Source organism: Homo sapiens, chromosome 21 (genome assembly GCF_000001405.40).
Source record: "Homo sapiens chromosome 21, GRCh38.p14 Primary Assembly".
NCBI lineage: Eukaryota > Metazoa > Chordata > Mammalia > Primates > Hominidae > Homo > Homo sapiens.
The window spans coordinates 13033113-13054516 of record NC_000021.9 but is presented as its reverse complement, the minus strand read 5'-3'; the positions used below and the strand labels follow the sequence as shown (position 1 = coordinate 13054516).

General features: G+C 38.6%; 2 pseudogenes across 1 annotated transcript in view; both read right to left on the bottom strand.

The window, feature by feature from the left end:
• The window catches only part of ANKRD30BP2 (ankyrin repeat domain 30B pseudogene 2), an 80086-nt pseudogene extending 63735 nt beyond the window's left edge, over positions 1 to 16351 (bottom strand). Inside the window, exons 1-6 of the transcript NR_026916.1 lie at positions 16093 to 16351; positions 11901 to 12015; positions 11565 to 11738; positions 9247 to 9354; positions 5488 to 5552; positions 1815 to 2721 (exon numbers count right to left, since the gene is read on the bottom strand). The product of NR_026916.1 is annotated as an ankyrin repeat domain 30B pseudogene 2 (transcript). The remainder of the gene's footprint in view (positions 1 to 1814; positions 2722 to 5487; positions 5553 to 9246; positions 9355 to 11564; positions 11739 to 11900; positions 12016 to 16092) is intronic.
• On the bottom strand, positions 6828 to 6934 carry RNU6-614P (RNA, U6 small nuclear 614, pseudogene; annotated as a pseudogene).
• Positions 16352 to 21404: the final 5053 nt, after the last annotated feature.

Sequence of the window (21404 nt, the reverse complement as noted above, 5' to 3'; positions counted from 1 at the left end):
AGGCAGGAGAATGGAGTGAACCTGGGAGGCGGAGCTTGCAGTGAATCAAGATCGCACCATTGCACTCCAGCCTGTGTGACAGAGAGAGACTCCATCTCAAAAAAATAAAAAGAGACATCTGGACAACTTTTAGTGACAAAAATGGAGATTTAACATTCCCTGTCCCAGGGGATTTTCCAAATTTAGGCCTGCATATTTTCTCATTTGCTCCTTTAGTCTGTCTAAGAATTTCATGGTCCACTCACCTCTCTCCTGTTGTATATCAAATGCTTTGGAGAGATTTTGAGTTTGGGGTACTGATTCCCTAGTTTCTTTCATTATCATTTCCCTTATGTCTTGCATGTTTTCTTGGTGAGCTGCGTTATTATTATCCCACCGGGGATCTTGGGCAGGGAATTTTTGGTCCGTGGTAGGAACGTTTTGACAAGGAGTGTGTTCATATTCCCAAATTGCCATAGCAGCCCTACGGATCAGATCATGCTTCTTTCCTCCTCCGAAAAGAGGATGCCTAGGATGGACATAAACTCGACCAAAGTGTATAACTGAGGTCCCAAGAATTGATCAACCTGATCTGCCACCTCATAAGGGTCGTCTAACAATGGCTTAATTTCCTTTTTCAAACTTCAGACTTCTGAACTGGTCAAGGGAGCATTCACAAATACAATGGCTCCTCCTCCTTGTGGCATGTCTTTTAAGGGGAAGAGAGTTGGGGCTGACTCTTTAGGTGTGGACGGAAAAGGGAAGTTCTGAACGTCCTTTTTACATTGCTGTACCTCATGCTGGAGTCCCTTTAGGGAGAGGTATTTAAGCTGACAGGGGACAGGCTCATGGGATGATAACTCCCAAGAATTAGAGTTGTAAGGAGGAGTAACAGCGTGAGCAGGAGAAGGATCTGGGGTGGGATATGGGGTGGCAGCAGCTGCCCGAGGGGAAGGGTCAGAGGTACTGAGCAGGGCAAAATGGTATAGGGGATCCCATGTGGTGGCTTTAGGTGTGGGAGTCAGCTCGTCTGACTTTTCAATTTGAGATACTGGATCGGGTTCTTCCCTAGTTGTCTTTATGGGAATAAAGACAGGTCCCTGTCTCCAACAAAGAGCATAGTCTAGTTCTTCTTGAGAAACCAGATTTTTATCATTAACATATTGAATTAGAAGTTGACATATTACATTCTCAATCGACCCAAACTTTGGCCAGAAGATTGAGTGTTTGAAAATGGGACCTTGGGTCCAAATGAAACAGCAATATTTTATCCTCTAATGCTTTTTCTTATGTTTAGTCCTCTCATTATCCTTCCAATATTTTAACATGAGACCCAGGGGACTATGAGGGGCATGTCTTTGTTACTATCCTCTTCTTTTTTGCTCCCTATCTTATTTGGGGCTTTTCCCATGTTAGGTCCTGGTTAGGCTCAATCCCGCATGCTAGAGATTTCTTCCCTATCCTTTATCCCCACCTGCTGGAGGCTCCTCACACCCTTCTTTCACTTCATCCACTCTGGCTGCTTCCCTCCCAGGAATTTTCCGTCCCTCTTTGCATTGGCATCATGGTATAAACCCCACAGCAAGATCTGCCCTGAGCCCTATGAGGATACAGTGAATTCCTCTTCAAAGGTTTTTTATTCAAATAAAAAACCGCAGATAGGACCCACTCACTCCTCACAGCAATAATGCTTAGTATCATCCACACAAACAGCACCACAAGCAGTAGTGCTTGTGATCATTCACACACACTTTCAACCTCCAGAATATCCCGACCACCAAGGAAATACTTTGTCACCCCTGCGACATTTCTTACCTCGGTCTGTGCACAGTTACCTGGTCGCCACGGTATGTGAAGATCCTTTCCCCAGAGTTGCTGGCCTGTTTCTTTCCACGTTGCTGAGAGCCCGGGTTTATTAATCGCACCAGTTGAGTCTTGATTCCTTACCTTTATGGCCACTGCAACGAGGCAGCGGGGTGCACCTCCTCAAGGGAGAGGACTGGACCCTCCCCCAGAGGAGAATGGGAATGTTGGGTGGGCCCTCAAATTTTTGGAAAATAATTTTCGGTGCCACAAAGAACCGTCAGCACTCCAGCAACAAGTTTTTACAGCAAGGCAAATTTACTTCTATGGAAGAGTGGTCTTGCAGATGGAGCAAAGGCAAGATCACACCGGACAAGGGAGGGGAAAGTGTTCTTATTTCTAACGCAGCTAGTCCCTACTGTTGTGTCTTTTCCCTATTGGATAGGGTTGGACTGCACACTCTAAGCCAATTCAGATTGGCTATTTCAAAGAGGGCAGGGGTATGAGCTGGAGTGGCAGGGTGAGTAGTTTCAGCGGGAAAGACAGTTACAGAGCAGGTGTCTAAGGATGACTAAGGACAGAGCAGGTTACTAAGAATGACTAAAGACAAAGCAGGTGTTAGAGGCTAGAAGGGGGTTGTTTAATGAAACTAGGGGCAAGGAGGCATAACGAACGAGGAAGTTAAACTTTAAAACGGAGAACAAAGAACGGAGAAGCTGAACATACTGACATATTTGTTCTTTGATGAGGAACTCAGAACTCATTGTACTTAATCTTCCCCCCTCTTGAATTTTAAAGGATGTTTACAGGCTAAAATCTTTGAAGAGGAATTCACTGTATCCTATTCGTCAGGTGTTCTTTCCACCAAGCTTTCAGCCGTGTCAGGTGTTCTTTCCGCCAAGGGTGCAGCCTCGTCAGGTGTTCCTTCAGATGTTCCTTCTGCCAAACACACAGTCTGGTTAAATTTTCCTTCTGCTAAATATCATCCTTCTGACTCTTTACCTGGAAAACTTCTACTCATTCAGCTTGCTTTCCTTAAATACCACCAAACTTTTGTTTTCTCCTTTTTTTTTTTTTTTTTTTTTTTTTTGAGACAAGAGCCTCGCTCTGTTGCCCAGGCTGGAGTGCAGTGGCACGATCTCAGCAGATCACTGCAACCTCCGCCTCCTGGGTTCATGAAATTCTCCTACCTCAGCTTCCCATGTAGCTGGTATTACATATGCATGCCACCCAGGCCCAGCTAATTTTTTGTATTTAGTAGAGATGGGATTTCACCATGTTAGTCAGGGTGGTCCCAAACTCCTGTGCTCAAGCAATCCGCCCGCTTTGGCCTTCCAAAGTGCTAGGATTACAGGAGTGAGTCACCGCTCCTGGACACTACCAAACTTTTTAAAGCTTTAATTCTTCACGTTGGATATAAAATGTCTGACACATACTGAATATGGTAATGACATAATAAGTGATAGTTATAAGCTCCCAAAGGGGTTCTGGCACAGAGTAAGCACTAAATAAAGTAGTAAATAATAAAAAAGATGATAATAACAAGAAAAATGCTTAGTAACTTAATAAAGTAGTAAATAATAAAAAATGACAATGATAATAACAAGAAAGATGCTTAGTACCTTAAAGATACCTGACAGTTATTTGTTAAGTGGACAAGTGGATACACAAATAGAAAACATAGTTAGGAAATTCTGTTGGAAAAATGAAGAAATTCAACAGAGACAGCTCTACTGTATTATGAGCACCTTAAAGACCCAGACTATGTGTATTCCATGTTGGTCTCCTGCAACTTGCAAAATCTAACTTATAGAAGTCCTTTGATAAATATGTAATAAATTAAAGATGTGTTCATACAGTTCATATTGTACAATGTATTCTGTCACATTTAGGTATCACAGTAGCACTTTTGTTATTGTGAAAATTTTTTCCACTTTTATTATAATTCGTTGAGCCTAGAGTTGAGCTAGTTGTATATTTATAATGATAATATTTTGGCTAGTAGGAACAGAGTAACTTGTTGTAACAAAATTACTATCAACACACTAATTATCCAGCAGATAGAACAACACATCTTGTTCTAATGAAGTAAATATATCTTATTTGGTTTCAACTTAGAGGGAATGAAATTGATAATAGTGAGACCTTGTTGGTACAAGACTATGTAACATAACCTGTGCTTCTCAACAAAGAATTGCTTTTCTGACTTCTGCACTCAGTAGGTATCTTTGAAAAATAATCTCCTATTGGTACTGATGCATCCTTGCTAAGTTATGTTAATTCTTATTGACATTCATTTATGGTGCAAGAAAAGTATTATTGAGTTCCAAATTCTAAAGATAGTTACTTTTTTAGTGACGCAAGTCACTATGCCACACAGTTGATCTTTGAATAAGGGTTCTCACTCTAGGAGCCCACTAATAGACAGATTTTTCTTTTCCTTTGCCACTGCAAGATACTAAGAAAAATCTCGCCTTTGCCTCCTCCTTATCAGCCTACTCAACATAAAGGCAATGAGAATGAAGTCCTTTATGTATAATAATTCACTTCCATCTAATAAATAGTGAATATATTTCTTCCTCTTTATAACAGTTTCTTTTCTCCAGCTCACTTTATTCTAAGAATACAGTATATAGTACATATAAAATAGAAACTATGGGTTAATTGACTGCTTAAGCTTTCACCTTTTTTCAGGCTCCAGGTCAACAGTAGAATGTTGTAGAGTTTTGGAAGAGTCAAAAGAAACAGATTTTCCTATAAAGCAGATTTTCAGCTGCATGGGGGGATCAGCACCCTAACTCTCATGTTGCTCAATACTCAACTGTAATTAATTCTAATTTTCTAAATGCAAATCATTTATTGTAAAAATTAAATAAAGCCCAGAAGTTCAAGACCAGCCTGGGTAACATAAGGAGACCATGTCTCTACAATAAAGAAACAAACAAATAAATTATTTATTTGTTTATTTAACAAATAAACATTTTGTTTATGTTTAATAAACAAACAAATAAATTATTTATTTGTTTATTTAACAAATAAACATTTTATATGTTTGTTTATGTTAAATAAACAAATATTTGTTTATTAAACATAAACAAATATTTGTTTATTAAACAGTTAACTGTGTTCCTTTATAGGTTATAATATTCAAATGTTGCAGTTTTCTGTTATTAATTCCTACTTTTCATTATTAGAAGTTCTATTATTTGTGGCTTGTAATTCAAGGCACCGATGCTATTTTATAATTTGTAATAAAATTTATTTATAAATATATTAATTCATTAAATTGGATAAGCTGATAATCCCCTATTACTGAGCTCATCAATCACACCAAGGATTATACATTTTATAACAAGCATAAATTTTTATGACAGTTTGGGAAACATACTATAGATAAACTTAAAAATTGTTTTACTTATTTATACAAAAGTATTATATAGGATATTAGGGACCACAATTAAACAAATATTTTTTCAGATAATATTTTTGAGATTATAAACTACCTACAACTAAATTCTTAATGAATTCTGAATTATAAACTAAAAAATTAAATCAAAGCTTTGTATATAAAAAAACACTTACATATAGGTCTATATGTAAACACATGCTACTTACACATTGCTTTTCTAATAGCTCTTTTGTGATTAACACTCCTATAATCTTATGGTAGCACCACCAAGAGTAGTTTACTATCAGAGGTCTTACCTGGATTACTATTTTGAGAATTTTTAGATATCTTTTGTTTATATTCCAAAAGTTGTTGATGAATGCTATGTATAAAAATGAAATAAATAAAATCACTATTTTAACACTGATATAAAAAAATTTACCAAATTTATTACATTCTTAGAGTATTTCAGACAATATTAGAGCTAACATCAGAACATTACTTTTTCCATAGACTTTAAGTATACAAGCTCTATGAACTTATTAAGCTTCTAATTAAAGAAGAAAGAAAGATAAAACACTCATAAAGTGAGGGCAGTATAACTCAGTAAATTAACTAAAGTTAGCTTGACATATGGAAAATGTCCCTAACTCGGAATAAGTCCTAGCATGGCTACCAACAGGTATCTTTTCTTGAACAAGTTGCTTCTCTTAGACTCAATGTCTTCTAAAAATGAGGATTTTAGGGCCTTATTTCACTAGGTTATTATAAAGATTTAACAAGATAACATTTTTAAAATGCTTAAAATAAAAAATGAAGCAAAAAAATTATTTGTTCTTCAACCTTATTGCTGAAACAATTTAAAATTCCCAATAAAACCCAATATATTGGCCTGGTGCAGTGGCTCATGCTTGTGAGGCAAGCACTTTTGGATGCTGAGACAGGAGGATTGCTTGAATCCAGAAGTTCAAGACCAGCCTGGGCAACATAGGGGAGGACCAATGGTCCACCAAAATTTAATTCCCACTAAACATAAGACACAAAAAACATGTTTTTCTTCATAGGTTATAATATTCAAATATTGCAATTTTCTGTTATTAATTCCTACTTTTGGATATTAGATGTTCTATTCTTTGTGGCTTGTAATTCAGAGCATCTAAGCTATTTTATATTTTGTAATGAAATTTATTTATAAATATATTAAATCATTAAATCAGATAACCTAATTATACTCTATTACTGAGCTCATCAGTCACACCAAGGGCAGAAAACTAATAGATGTCAGCATCTGGCTTGGACTACTACTACTCTTTATCTACCTCCTTAAACTCTGAACCAACAAATCTTTGTTAGAATGATGCTTAGTCACTATGTTCATTTCCAGCTGCTGTGGAAGACAAAACCCTACCTTTATTTTTTGTAAGTTCCACAAAGAAGATGCAAGTTGGTATTTTCTCATTTCTGAGATCCCTACTAACAAAATATTGCACACAAGATCCTATGTGTTACCACATCTCATTTCATAGATCACCTTATGTAAATAATTTTTTGTATGAAAATCACAATTGCAATACTGGGTGTCACCCATTTTGCTTTGACTCACACCATTTCCTTGGAGCTAGTTAGAAAGTAGTAAAATGTCCTTTTGGGGACTGCAAGAAATATGCAACACCTTACAGATTTCTATGTCATCCTTGTGCGGGGACCATGCTGATCTTCTCAACGTTGTCTTAATTTTACTATATGTACCACTGAAGCCAGCACAAATCCTTACTTTTATACGTGAAGACTGATGAGGGATGGATGAGGCTTAGCTCTGTTAAATCTAACCAACTTACTTGAGATTTAGTGAAGTCTATTGAATGGCTTCATGGTGATGCAGCATTTGAAAATATTTTAGAAACTCGAGGTGGAGATGTAAGTAGCATGGGAGATTTTTACTTTTAGGAAAAAAGAATCACTTGAGGGGACAACCACAAGTTGGAACCCACTACAACTTGGGAAAGATGACATGGGATTTTATAGAATAAGATGAGACCTTCCACTACCTACAAAATGGTGCTACACAGGATATAAAGGGCCAGGGATATAGATCTGGTAACAAAGACAAAATGGATCTCTAATTTCTTCCTGTAACATTATTTCAACCTGACTTACAGTTTCAAACTACCACAACTAATATTGGCTAGAGAAAATAGAAAAAAGCCACTCAAAGGATAATTTACCATGAAGGTCTAGGCCATGTCCAGGCTAAGATGTGGGTTTCACATCAGGTTTTGAGTGTGAGGAGAAGGGTCAATTTGCTCACTATGTGTGTGGCTAAAGCTAAAAGTTCTAGCTGCCAGAGTGGGGTGCTGGTACTTTGGAAACAATGGCTGAGAATATGTACGTGAACTTTAAAAACATGTCATAACTTGGAAGTCTATACCATGAAGACTGAGGAATCTGTGTTAGTAAGGGCATCCTGGTCACAAAGGTCAATCATTACCAGACTGCAGGAGCAGTTTCAATGGCAACGATGCAGCAACAGAATCAATGGAAACAGCAAAATGAAGAGAATGGCCATTTCCCACCCCCCAATCCTTCTGACTTGTACAAAAGGAATGTCTTCCTTGGACTTAGGTTCAGATTCTTTTAAAAAATTCAAGAATGAAGGTATGGAAGACAGCCCCCTGGGGACACTATCAGGTTTTCTGCTTAAAGTGGACATTTTGAGACCCAAATAACTAATTAGAAAAACCAAAATTGTGACATTATATTTATCCCATGCATAGGGGTTATACTTCAAATCAAGTAGACAACATTAGCGTCCCTAAAGCCCTAAAATAAAGAATCCTGGAGCCATTAATCTTTCTAACTAGTCTAGCTTTTTGCCTAGTTTCTGGCTGATGAAGTGAACTAACTCACTGTCATTCAAAAACTACCTGAAACAAACTATAAAATCTCACCTAGCCTTTAAATGTAAACACTTAGAGATTAAATCCACAAGCAACAGCATAACGTTCTGCAATCATTCCACATGTAGCTTCAGCACAGATGTCAACATTTTGCTGAAGAACCGTGCCAACTATCTCTGATGATCCATGACATATGGCAAGCATGAGGGCTGTGCTAAAATAACAGACATAACTTCATTATTAGGAATGAACCAATTTAATATGTGCCTGTCAGTATAGAATTAACCATTTACATGTATTAACAAATGTTAAGTATCTTGAGTGCTCAAGTGTTTATCCTTGTAAATCACGACCAAGGCTAAAAGGAAGGGGTGAAAAGACTCATGTCTCACTGGGATATGGCATAGTAGAATTGGCTAACATAAAGTCCACTGAGGGGCAAGAAAATATGTTCTGTTCACTAATCTAAAAGAGGCAAAGTTTTAAGTGAAGAATTATCTATTTCCTCCTTAGTCTGATATAATATTTTGTACTTCAAAATTAGCTAGAAGTCGGACAAGTGAGAGCAATCTGAAGACTTAAAACAATATTAGGAATAATATTGTCCTGAGTACCTGGGACTACAGGCTTGTGCCACCATGGTTGGCTAATTTTTATATTTTTCATTGAGATGAGGTTTTACCATGTTGGCTAGGCTGGTCTCAAACTCCTGGCCTCAGGTGATCTACCCACTTGGCCTCCCAAAGTTGCTGGGATAACAGACAACAGCTACCATGCCCAGCAAATATTGCATTTTTTAAAAGTGTATGAAAAACAGAAGTTAGAAAAATACTATAAAGGTGTTAATCATTCAATATTGAATTATAAAGTAAACTAAAAATTCATACTTCTTAAAACTAATACAGAACCACTTTAGCTAATAGAAGATAATGCAACCAAAAACATCAGATTACAAATAAGAATCAGTCAGTATAATAAAAGAAGAAAATCCTACTGTATACTGTTCTTTGTGTTGACCAGTCCAAATAATTGCTTTTCTTCCTAACTGATAATTTGTCTTGATATTTTTCTGTATAATCTAATAATTTTAAGTAAATGTTATTAATTTAATATTTCTGACTTGAGTGTTATTACTCTAGCACACTACTCAAGTGTTTTTTAATAAAAAAACTACTATACCATTTAAACTTATCAACTCCATTTGCATTTGCATTTTTTTGTCAGTAAAAATTCCACAATTTGCTCACTTCTTTTCCTTATGGCCAATAAAAGTGGTGTGTGGCCAGCCTGTAAAACAGCAAAAACAATTTATAATTCATGAAATTACATATTTCTCAGCTGAATTGAATACCTTATATAATATCCTATGAACTTAAACAATGGAAAGTAAATCAATAGCAATCCCTTCTTTCTCACTTTTCTGTGCTTTCCCATGCACTGCACCTTCTCTTGTAAACATTCAGCCTCTGCATCACCACATTAACTCTGGTTATCTCCAAAAATCATTACATTGTAATGATTTTATTGTTTCCCATGTAAACCAAGAGCTTCTTGAGGGCAGGGGCTGTATCTTTTACCTCTATATCCTTAAACCCTAAGACATAGTAGTAAATACTTTATTTTTTACTAAATTAGTAATCTAAATTATTACTTCTAGAACAGTGTTTCTTCAACTTTATTCCAAAGAATAATTACCTTACCAGAAGCACTGTACCCCAACAGATTCCACCATTATCTATGTTCAAGAAATGTTATAAAACTGTGAATTAAATGTTCATTATTCAAGAAATGAATTGAACTTTACCTAATCCTTATTTGACAGTATATTTTTGTGGCAAACATTAACATTTGACAAATTAGAATTTCAGGGATGCAGTTTTGAAAGCTTCCCCCCAAAAATGGAGGTTTCCTCTGGGTGATACAAACTCACTTGATTCTCTTCTATCAATGATCCCAAGATTCCAAATGCCAATGTCAGGCACTCCTGCTCTAAATGGGTCACTAAGGAAGTGGCTGTAAATTAAAAGAGATTGGCTTCAAATAAACTTTGATTGCATATTCTTAAATGGTCCATGGGGTTTATCCTATTACCAGACAATAGGATTTTATCTCAGCTATTAGAAATTCAGTATAAAAGGCCAGGCAAAGTGGTTCATGCCTGTAATCCCAGCACTTTGAGAGGCCAAGGCGGGCAGATCACAAGGTCAGGAGATTGAGACCATCGTGGTCAACATGGTGAAACCCCATCTCTGCTAAAAATACAAAAAATTTAGCTAGGCGTGGTGGCACATGCCTGCGTCCCAGCTGCTCAGGAGGCTGAGGCAGGAGAATTGCTTGAACCAGGGAGGTAAAGATTGCAGTGAGCCGAGATCACACCACTGCACTCCAGCCTGGTGACAGAGCAAGGCTCTGTCTCAAAAAAAAAAAAAAAAAGAGAAAGAAAAAAAGAAAAGAAATTCAGTATAAAAGTTTATTCTCTATTAGAATGATACTCCTAGGATCCTAATGCATATCTACTTCTTAAAATGCAATAATCCATTTTTATTCTGGTTTCTATTGTAATTGATACTATTTTTTGGCAAAATATCAGAAGTATGAATAAAATGGCTTATTAATGAAAGTTCTAACTCATGTATGTGGCTTAGCAAAATAGAAGCCACTAAATCACTTGAATTTTAAGGGACAATTCTGTGGAGAAAGATATAATATTTTTTCTGCAATATGCATAACCTATTCAAATATAACCATGATTAATCTAAAAAGGCTTAAAGGCCTTCTAATAGAAGATGATTATTTATGGTTTATATGAGAAAAATCATCATTTATAAAATATTCTAAATTCTAGAAGACAACCCCATTATTAATGAATTAATGTAAAATATAAACTATATATTATAAACACCTATAAACTGCCTTCAATAACTTGAAATCTTTACCAAAATGTACTATGAGAGAGGAATTGATAACTGAAATATTTACAGAGGCAAAATAGGTAAGTTGAATAAGTGATGTAACTAGGTGGGCACAGTAGCAAACTGGAAACATATGCTTTATGTAAAACTAGAATGTCTTCATAGCATACCAAACAGTCATACGGGCTCAAGAGACACAAGATTCAATCCTTTAAGAGGAAATCCAGATTTCTGCATGTCTCCTAAATTTTACATGTTGACTCAATTTATGCAGGCAAATTTTACTTTCTTGTAGTTTTACACTAACTGGAAAGAAAAAAAAAAACTTGGGTGGGAAAGAATATTTGAAAATGTTTTACCTTTAACAAATTTAAATATTTATCATAATGCACAGAAAAGCCATACTAATAGTTCTTGTAAAAATATTAATATTTAAAGCAAAATCCTAGACAATTAAGTTTTGTCAAACTATTTTCATAGAAAAATAGGAATGTTTGAGCTTCCAAATATAAAACAATTTACATATGTTAATGTTAAAACAAATGGATTTCAAATATTTTGAAAATAACATTGGTTAATGTCTACCTTGTTCTTCACTTTAATGTCTGTACCACAGGACAGCAATTTTGCCACCACTGACAAATTCTCACTGTTAACAGCATAATGGACAGCTGTGTTGCCATACACATCTACAATATTTGGATCAGCACCAGAATCTATGAGAATATTTGCACAAGCCTCCCTCTGGCATTGCAGAGCCTGTCAGTATTAAAGCAAGAAGTAAATTATAAATTATAGGAAATATAAATAAATATTCCACAGGTTTCACAAACTAGTTATATTTCAATGAGATAAATTCATTTTTATTCTATGTATTTAAACCAAATCCATCTCCTGCTGAAAGAACTGGCTACCATTTACCTTCATCAGAGTTGTCCTGTTTTCGCCATCAAGGACGTCAAGCTGGCACTTTCTATCTACCAGAAGTGTTACTACTTCTGCATGGCCATTGGCACAGGCCCAGTGTAGAGCAGTCCTACGAGAGTGAGAGGCCTTTTAAGGAAAGTTTAGTCCACTGTCTCAAAACATAGAATGATTTATGTAATTGTCAACATTAAATACCATGCTCTTTCTCTGCCTTCAAAACAAATATTTAATATTCTCCTGAAGAAACTACAACATTCATTCACTGTTATTACTCACTATATTAATGAAAGAGTGGCCTATTTGAATAGAAAGAGCTTGGCCTTTGGATTCAGTTCAACTTGGGCTTGAATATTACTTTAAAGTCTTTCACCTTCTAGCTATCACTTAACCTTTCTGTGCCTCAATTTTCTCATCAATAAAGTGAAGATGAATACAGCAGTTATCTCACAGGACATCACTGTGATGCCTCATGAGAATCTGTGCAATGTATTTCGAAGAATTCCTAGCACATGTAACAGCTCAGTGATTGATAGATATTGTAATTATTTCTACTACTTAACAAAGAAAACATTTTAAGTAAAATGGTAAAATTATGCCTACTTTGTGGTATGTTTTAAAGGTTAGAGATAAAACTATTTTAATAATTCTAAGATACTCTATTTCTCATATTTTAACATCTCTGACATTGAAATGCCACTTATAAGTCATTATTTGTTACAAGTATATTTTGCAGAAATTTAAACGATCTTTTATTGGTACATAAATAAGGAGGCATCACACCATTCACCGTGCCTTCCACGAAGTGGAATATGGTATATACAACAGGACGATGGCAGTCCTAGTCATAGGATTAACACTTAAAGAAATTTTAGCTTTTAAGAGTGCTATACAAAAGGAGAGTTGAAATAAAAACAAACTGTTAAAACAAAGTACTTCTTTAATATTTTTAAAACTTCAAGCCAAAGAAAACTTGGGATTCAAGTAGGTATGGCTCATTTTATTCCATGTTTAGATTTACAGAATGTATATAAATTCATATTTAAATTTATAGAATGCATGTAAATTAGGTATTTCCAATGATTAATATTACTATTTAAAGCTGTTATAAATTTCCAAAATCGTGGTTGGTAGTTATCTTTTACTAGTTTCTTACTTCAGAAGTGTTTTTGTTTTAAAGATGAGAGGAAAAGCTTCAATTGAGATTCATTCCTAGTACTCCAACTTTAAATCTCTCACTTTGCTAAGGCTGAGCAGGTAAATGTGAAATTTTTAAGGATGAAAGGATCTTGAGAGTTAATGTATCTTCTACATAATAGGCATTCAGCTTACATGTGATAAATTGATTAAAAGGATAAATACAGTTGAGAAGTTCAATACCTTAAAAAAACTGCTATAAATAAAGCACTTATATTTTCTATTTTATTTTCTTAATAATAAAACTACACTAATCTATAATTATTGACATATGTGTAAGAAATCTATATACAATAAAAATATGTGCCTAATAAGATGTATATGTAAATCAACAAGCACAGGTAAAAAGATTGTCTTTTGAAGATGCTAAAAGTTCACAGAATATACTAATCCACAAAAAATAATAATTAAAATATGGAAAGTGAGAAATTATTTTTATTGGTGCAAAATTATATTCCTGCTCTTCCCAAAAATTATTTCATTAATAATAAACTTTTTCTAACAGCATTGTACATGCTCAATGTGGAAATCAAAGATAAAAAAAAGGAAAAACATTTTATATTAAAACAAATGCCCTCAAATAACAAATTTTATCATATTTCATACACAACTTCAGATAACGCAAGTCTGTGTGTATGTATAATGAAACTGAACTTTACCCTCACTTGATACACCAAAATACATTTTCAAATGTCACCTACTTCTCTACATATTTCTACCTTCAGTGGTCACATATTATCCCATGCTGTAAATTCACTGAAATGTATTTATAAAAGTCATTATATGGATTCTTCTTAATAATATGGTACTTACCACCAAATTGTCTATTTGAAAAGTTATCTGCAACTTAAACTTTAAACAGTAGTATAAATATCACTGCTCTTTATCCTCACAAACTTTGTAGGTAGAAAGCAGTATTTGATTCCTCTTTTAACTTAAATGCCTTCTGTAACCAGGAACACTAAATATTGTTTTCTGTGTGCATAGGTCACTTACAGATCTTAAGAAAATATTTTCCAAATTTTAAATTAGAAGCAAAGTACTATTTTTAGATCTGCAATTTAGATCTCTAATTTAAATTGCTCAATTTTAAATTAGAGGGTTTTTTTGTTGATTTAAGTGAATTATCTATAAAATGATGATTTAAAAATCTAATATGTATACACACACGCACATACATGTGTAGTAAATATTTTACAAGTATGCTGCCTTTTATTTTTTCTCCTTACAGTTTAATTTAATTTTGTTTTGCTTAATTATCCTTCAGACTGCTTGCTTCTGAGCTTCTTAGAAAGGTGTTGTCAACATAAAAATGTACCTGTGTAAATAGGCATTTATGTTTTCTTCTGGTGCTTTTATCATTTTGTATATTAAAAAAATTTAATCTATATTCCATCAGAAATTTACTTTGTGGCATAAAAATCTAGTTTTCTCCAAAAAGCAGGCATTTCACTTATGAAACTAATTCTTTCCCTACTAGTATAAAGTGTGAGCATTATCAAATTCTGAATTCTTAGATATTTGGGTGTTTCTGGTTTTCTACTGTGTTGTATTCATTTACCTGTCTTTTCAGCTGTTATCAAATAATTTGTGATTTATTTATTTATTTTTGAGACAGAGTCTCACTGTCGCCCAGGCTGGAGTGCAGTGATGGAATCTCAGCTCACTGCAACCTCCGCCTCCCAGTTTCAAGCGATTCTCCCTCCTCAGCCTCCCGAGTAGATGGGCTTACAGGCTCCCGACATCGTGCCTGGCTAATTTTTGTATTTTTGTAGAGTTGGGGTTTCACTATATTGGCCAGGCTAGTCTTGAACTCCTGACCTCAGGTGATCCACCCACCTCGGCCACCTGAAGTGCTGGGACTACAGGCATGAGCCAACACGTCTGGCCCTTTTTTTTTTTTTCTTTTTCAAATTTTATTTATTTATTTATTTATTTATTTATTATTATTTTGAGACGGAGTCTCGCTCTGTCACCCAGGCTGGAGTGCAGTGGTGCGATCTCGGCTCACTCCAAGCTCTGCCTTCCAGGTTCACACCATTTCTCCTGACTCAGCCTCCCAATTAGCTGGGGACTACAGGCGCCCACCACCACACCCGGCTAATTTTTTGTATTTTTAGTAGAGACCGTGTTAGCCAGGATGGTCTCAATCTCCTGACCTCGTGATCCACCCACCTCGGCCTCCCAAAGTGCTGGGATTACAGGCATGATCCACCGCGCCTGGCCATGGCCCATTTTGTGCAAATTAATAGCACATTTTGAAATCTAGAAGGGCAAGACTTTTCTACTCCGTTACAAAATTTGTTAAATGTCATCACAATAGTAAAAGACAGCGTGTGTAATTTTAAAAATGTTAAAACGTTGATAACTTTATTTGGTTTATGTAAAACTGATAAAGAACTTGCATCTTCAGAAAAATGAGTCTTCTTAAATTCGAAAACATAAACCATCTTCCCACCTCAAAGTTACCTTCTAAGGTCCCTCAGCAAAGAATATATTTACATAGACATTCATTGATATTGAAATGGTTACTGGACTTTATCCAAAAAATTTTTAGCCAAGAAGTTAATATATTATGGGAATTATTTCATTATGCACCATTTCATAATGTATCTAACATTATCTTTTAAAACCTGTACATTAAAAGTAAAACCCTGTATGTACTTAATTTTGTAAGTTAAATCACTTTAAAATTCTCTACACAGTGCTCTGTGAGAGGAAGTGGGAGTGAAGGAGAAAGCAGCTAACTAAAGTTTGGGGTTGATTTTAAGGTGGCCTGGGCCCTCTGCCCTGCAGGGCTCCCCCATCCAAGGCCTGGGGGGCCTTCCCGGGAAGAAAATCAAGACCTCGGGGCCAGGACGGCCGCCCCGCTGCCCACCACTCCTCCACCTGCTCCCCTCGTCCCCAGGACCCCCAGCCCCCACTCTGAAGGGGCGATCCTCCCACAGCCTCCTCCTCCTCCTGCAGCCCCGGCTCAGGCAGGGCCTGGTACCTCTTCTTCGCATCTCTTATGTTCAGGTCCATTGTCGTCTTCTTCATCATCCTCTCCAGCTTCCAGGCTTGGCCCGGGAGGCAGCTTTGTGGATCTTCCTGAGATCCCCATGGTGAATCACGTAAGAGTCGTTGTTGGTGTAGACCAGCTGACTGAAGGGGCTTGGGCGCTCTGGGCCCGTCTGGCCCTTGACAGCGGCGGCACAGAGCCTCTCCATGGCTGCAGCCACCTGCTAGAGAGAGCCCGTGCCTCCCGCTGCTCGCCCTTCCCCAGTCCCCGCCGCTCGCCCTCGCCCTTCTTCAGTCCCGCACCCGCCCTGACACGACTAGCAATCTCAGTCGGCCAAGCTTTTGGACACTCCAGCCTCTCCAGGGAGAAAATGGCTGCGCAAAACCGTTAGGCAGCTGAGCAGAACCGTTAGGCAGCTGAGCAGAACCGTTAGGCAACAGCGCATGCGCAACTCAGCAGACCTGGGAGGCACGCGAGGCAGGAAACCGCCCTGGCTGCGCTTCGCCCAGCACGGCGTGCAGGTGGCACCTGCTACTGAGGCGCTATCGGGCTGGCAGGGCTCCTTACAGCGGAACGTGGGGGGCTCCCTGCCACATGGCCTGCTTGACAGAGCCGCTCCTGGCCCCTCCTCAACCTGAGATCCAGGAGCTGGGCCCTGGCGCTGGGCATCGTGCAGCCTCCAGGGTGGCGCTGAGCGTCGGTTCCCGGCCTCCTGCAGCCAGGGACCCAACCCCTGACTTAGGCTCCCTGGAGGCTTCTGGCCCAAGTATCCGCGCGGCTGGTGGCGCTGGCAGGGTCAGGGTTGCAGCCTCTTCTGCCACGTGCCATGTTCAGGTGGCAGCTGCAGCTGAGCCCATGGTAGAGGCTACAGGGCTGGGCCCAGACCGCTGAGCATCGCCGAGTACATCGCCCTTCCACCCGGGGCTCTGCTCTTCCTCGGCTCGCGCTGGCAGCGCAGGCTTGCGACCACTGGGCCCTGTACAGCTGCGGCGACGAGGCTTTGCAGCAGGTTCCCACGATCCTGCAACTGAGGTCCCACTGCCTGACTTAGGCGCAGTGGCGGTGTCCGACCCTGGGGTTCGCCTGCTGGTGGCGCGGACAGGTTCTGGGGTTGCCACCGCTGCTGCCACCTTCAAATGCCAGCTGCAGCTGAGCCCACGGTAGAGGCTGCAGGGCTGGGCCCGACGGCCTTAGGGTAGCCGTGTGGCACACGCCCTCCCACTCTAGGCCCTGCTCTTCCTTGGCTCGCGCCCTGAGCGCTGGTTTGCAGGCTCTGGGCACTGTGCAGTCGCCAGGATGCGGCTGAGCAGCAGGTTCAGCGCCGCCTGGGCCCAGAGGGGAAGAGGGGAGTTTGGGGTTGCTTGGCCATATTTGCCTGTGTGCCAAGTGCAGGTAGCGGCACCAGTTCTGACAGGCACGGATGGCGGGTCCCGTTTAGAGGGCTTCAAGGTTCCTGAGAGCGCCCGCTGCCAGGCCTCAGGATCCCTTCCTCGTTGACCAGCATCTGGAGTATGGCAGTGGCGCTGGGTCATCTGCAGCCATCCTGGATGGGGCTGAGCTGCAGTTCTCACCCTTGGACTGAGAGGGAAACTCGGCTGAGTGGATCAGATGGAGAAACAGTTAAATTGAACTTATCTATAAAGACTTCCAGGCTGGGTGCAGGACCTCATGCCTGTACTTACAGCACTTTGGGAGACCGAGATAGGAGGATCACTTGATCCCAGGAGTTTGAGACCAGCTTAGACAACACAGGGAAACTTTATCTCTATAAAAATAAAACCAATCAGCCAGGCATGGTGGTGCATGCCTGTGGCCCCAGCTACTTGGGAGATTGATTGTGGCATGATCACTTGGGCCTGGGAGTTCGTGGGTACAGTAAACTGATTGTGCCACAAACAAGGAATGAGAGGTCCTGTTGCTCCCCATCCTTGACAGCATTTGACCTTTTCATTCTTCTGGATTTTGGTTATTGTTTGATTGTTTGTGCCACTGCACTCCAAGCCTGGGCAACAGAGACTCTCTCTCAAAATAAATAAAAGACTTCTAGTCACTATATCTTATCTATGTCGAATTGTTTACACATCTAGCTTGAAGAGTTAAAACCCACAGCGCCCTCTGATTATGTGATAGGGACCATGTGATTAAAGTGGGTGACCATGTTCTTGCCTCCAGGGGTCCCAAGTCAAGGGATGGGTCCCCAGCTGCAGGAGGGTGGGAATGGATGCTCAGCACCATCCCGGAGGCTACACAATGCCCAGCCCCAGGGCCCAACTCCTGGATCCCGGATCATGAACAAAAACCCACGAATTGAAGACTTGAGTGTTAGATATGCTCATTTCTGCTGTGATATCATTGGTTCTAGAGACCGTCTTAGTTTACAGAGCAAAGAAATAAATGTGTGTATACAAAGCTGTGTATACACATAACTATAAATATTTCTAAATGTAATGTGTATAAGTGTTAGTTCATACTGATGTCTACGACTCAATTCTTTTATCACATGATCATTCTGGCCTTCTCCCCTTGCTTACATGTAACCTCCCACTTTAATAGTGAGAAACCAGGCTCCTGTCATTTGTCATCCATTTGCTTAACTGTCTAGTTCCAATATACATTTATTCTCTATCAATATCAGAATCGCTATCCCATTTCCTGTAGGAAACAGCTACACCACCCAGATCACATGAGTTGTTTGCAGTTTCTCTTCCTTTCAGTCTTCATGCATTTTCTTTGTTTCTTTTTCTTTTTCTTTTTCTTTTTTAAGATGGAGTTTTGCTCTTCTTGCCCAGGCTGAGGCTGGAGTGCAGTGGCTTGATCTCGGCTCACTGCAACCTCTACTTCCCAGGTTCAAGCGATTTTCCTGCCTCAGCCTCCTGAGTAGCTGGGATTACAGGCACCCGCCATCATGCCCAGCTAATTTTTGTCTTTTTAGTAGAGATGGGGTTTCACCATTTTGGCCAGGCTGGTCTCAAACTCCCAGCCTCAGGTGATCCGCCCACCTTGGCCTCCCAAAGTGCTGGGATTACAGGTGTGAGCCACCACAGAAGGCCCATCCATTTTCTAAGATGCTTATGTCAGCACGTTTTTCCCACTCCCTAGAGTGAAGTGGCTTTATACATTTGTAGTACTTTAGATTTTCTATCACATTCTGCATTCCATCCCAGGATCCCCAGAACACCTACTTTGTTGTTGTTGTTGTTTTAAAATTTGCATATATTAAGTGACACTCTTTGTGCTGTGAGATTCTTTGTTTTTTAACAAACGCAGGCCGGGTGCAGTGGCTCACGCCTGTAATCCCAGCACTTTGGGAGGCCGAGGTGGGCAGGTCACAAGGTCAGGAGATGGAGACCATCCTGGCTACACGGTGAAACCCCGTCTCTACTAAAAATACAAAAACAAAAGTAGCCTGTCGTGGTGGCAGGCACCTGTAGTCCCAGCTACTCGGGAGGCTGAGGCGTGAGAATGTCGTGAATCCGGGTTGCAGAGCTTGCAGTGAGCCGAGATCGTGCCACTGCACTCCAGCCTGGCCGACAGAGCAGACTCCATCTCAAAAAAAAAAAAAAAAAAAAAACGCAAACGCATACTATCGTGATTCCACAGTTGTGGTAACATGCAGAATACTTTGACTGGTCCAAATAATGCCCACGTGCTTCACCTATTAAACCTCCTCACTGAATCTTTTGCCAGATCATTTACTTTTTTAGGAAGTAATATTCCCTTATATGACGTATCACAGTTTTTTTTTTTTCCATTCATCAATTATGAGACCTCGAGGTTTCTTCCAGTTTCGGGAATTATAAACAAAGCTGCTATATATATATTCATGCGTCAGTTTTGGTGTGGACATGGTTTTCAAATAAGGTGGATAAACACCTAAAAACACATTTGCAGCCAGGCACGGTGGCTCACACCTGTAATCCTAGCACTTTGGGAGGCCGAGGCGGTCGCATTGCCTGAGCTCAGGAGTTGGACAACAGCCTGGGCCACATGGTAAAATTTCCCAAATCAAAAGGTTATACTGTCTCTAGTAAAATACAAAAAAAAAAAAAAAAAAAAAAAAAAAAAATTAGCCGGGCATGGTGGTAGGTGCCTGTAGTCCCAGCTACTCTGGAGGCGAGGCAGGAGAATTGTTTGAACCCAGGAGGTGGAAGTTGCAGTATCCTTCTATTGCACCACTGCACTCCAGCCTGGCTGACAGAGCAAGACTCTATCTCAAAACAAACAAAAAAAAACACAATTGCTATATTATATGTAAGACTTTTTTTTTTTTTTTACATATAGTATAGCAACTATGGGCCTAAGAAATTGCCCATCTGTCTTCCAAAGTGGTGGTTTCATTTTGCAAGTGGTGAAAGAAAAAAAACAAAAAACAAAATTCTTCTTGCTCCTGGTTTTTGGGAAAAAGTATCCCAATTCTCATCATTAAGTATGATAGTTTTAGGGGTTTTGTAGATGTTCTTTGTCAAGTTATGAAAATTCACCTCAATTCCTAGTTTTCTGAGAGTTTCTCAAATTATAGATGGGTGATAGATTTTGCCATAAGCTTTTTCTACATCAATTGATACAGTCACATGATTTTTCTTCCTTAACCTGTTGATTTAGGAAATTCTGCAGATAATTTTCTAATATTGAATCAGTCTTGCATACTGTCTTACCTAAAATAAATACATAGTTAGATTCAATTGTCTAGTATTTTGTGAAGGATTATTGAATCTTTTTTCATGAGAGATATTGATATATTGATTTTATTTAATTTTATGTCTATTGGATTTGGTAAGAGGGTAATATTTACCTCATAGAATGAATTAGGAAGTGTTCTCTCTAATTCCATTTTCTTGAAAAGTCTGTGGAAAATTGGTATAATTTTGCCATTAAATGCTTGATAGAATTCACCACTAAAGCCATTTGGGCCTGGAACCATTGGAGGGGTGGGTGGGTTATTAACTATTTATTCAATTCCTTTTATAGATATAAGAGTACTCATGTTATCTATTTTTTCTTTTGTGAGTATTGGCATATTGTGTCTTTCAAGGTATTTGTCCATTTTATATAGGTTATTGAACTTGTGAGTATAGAGTTTTTAATATAGTAAATATATCATCCTTTTAATGTCCACAAAATCAGTAGTCATAACCCATACCCCTGTTTCACTTCCAATATTTGTTAGTTGTGCATTCTCTCTTTTTTTCTTTATTAGTTTGTCTAAATGTTAGCAAGCTTATAGATCGTTTCAAAGAAACAGCTTTCTGTTTCATTGATTTTCTCTATTGTTTTCCTGTTTTATATTTTACTGATATCTGCTA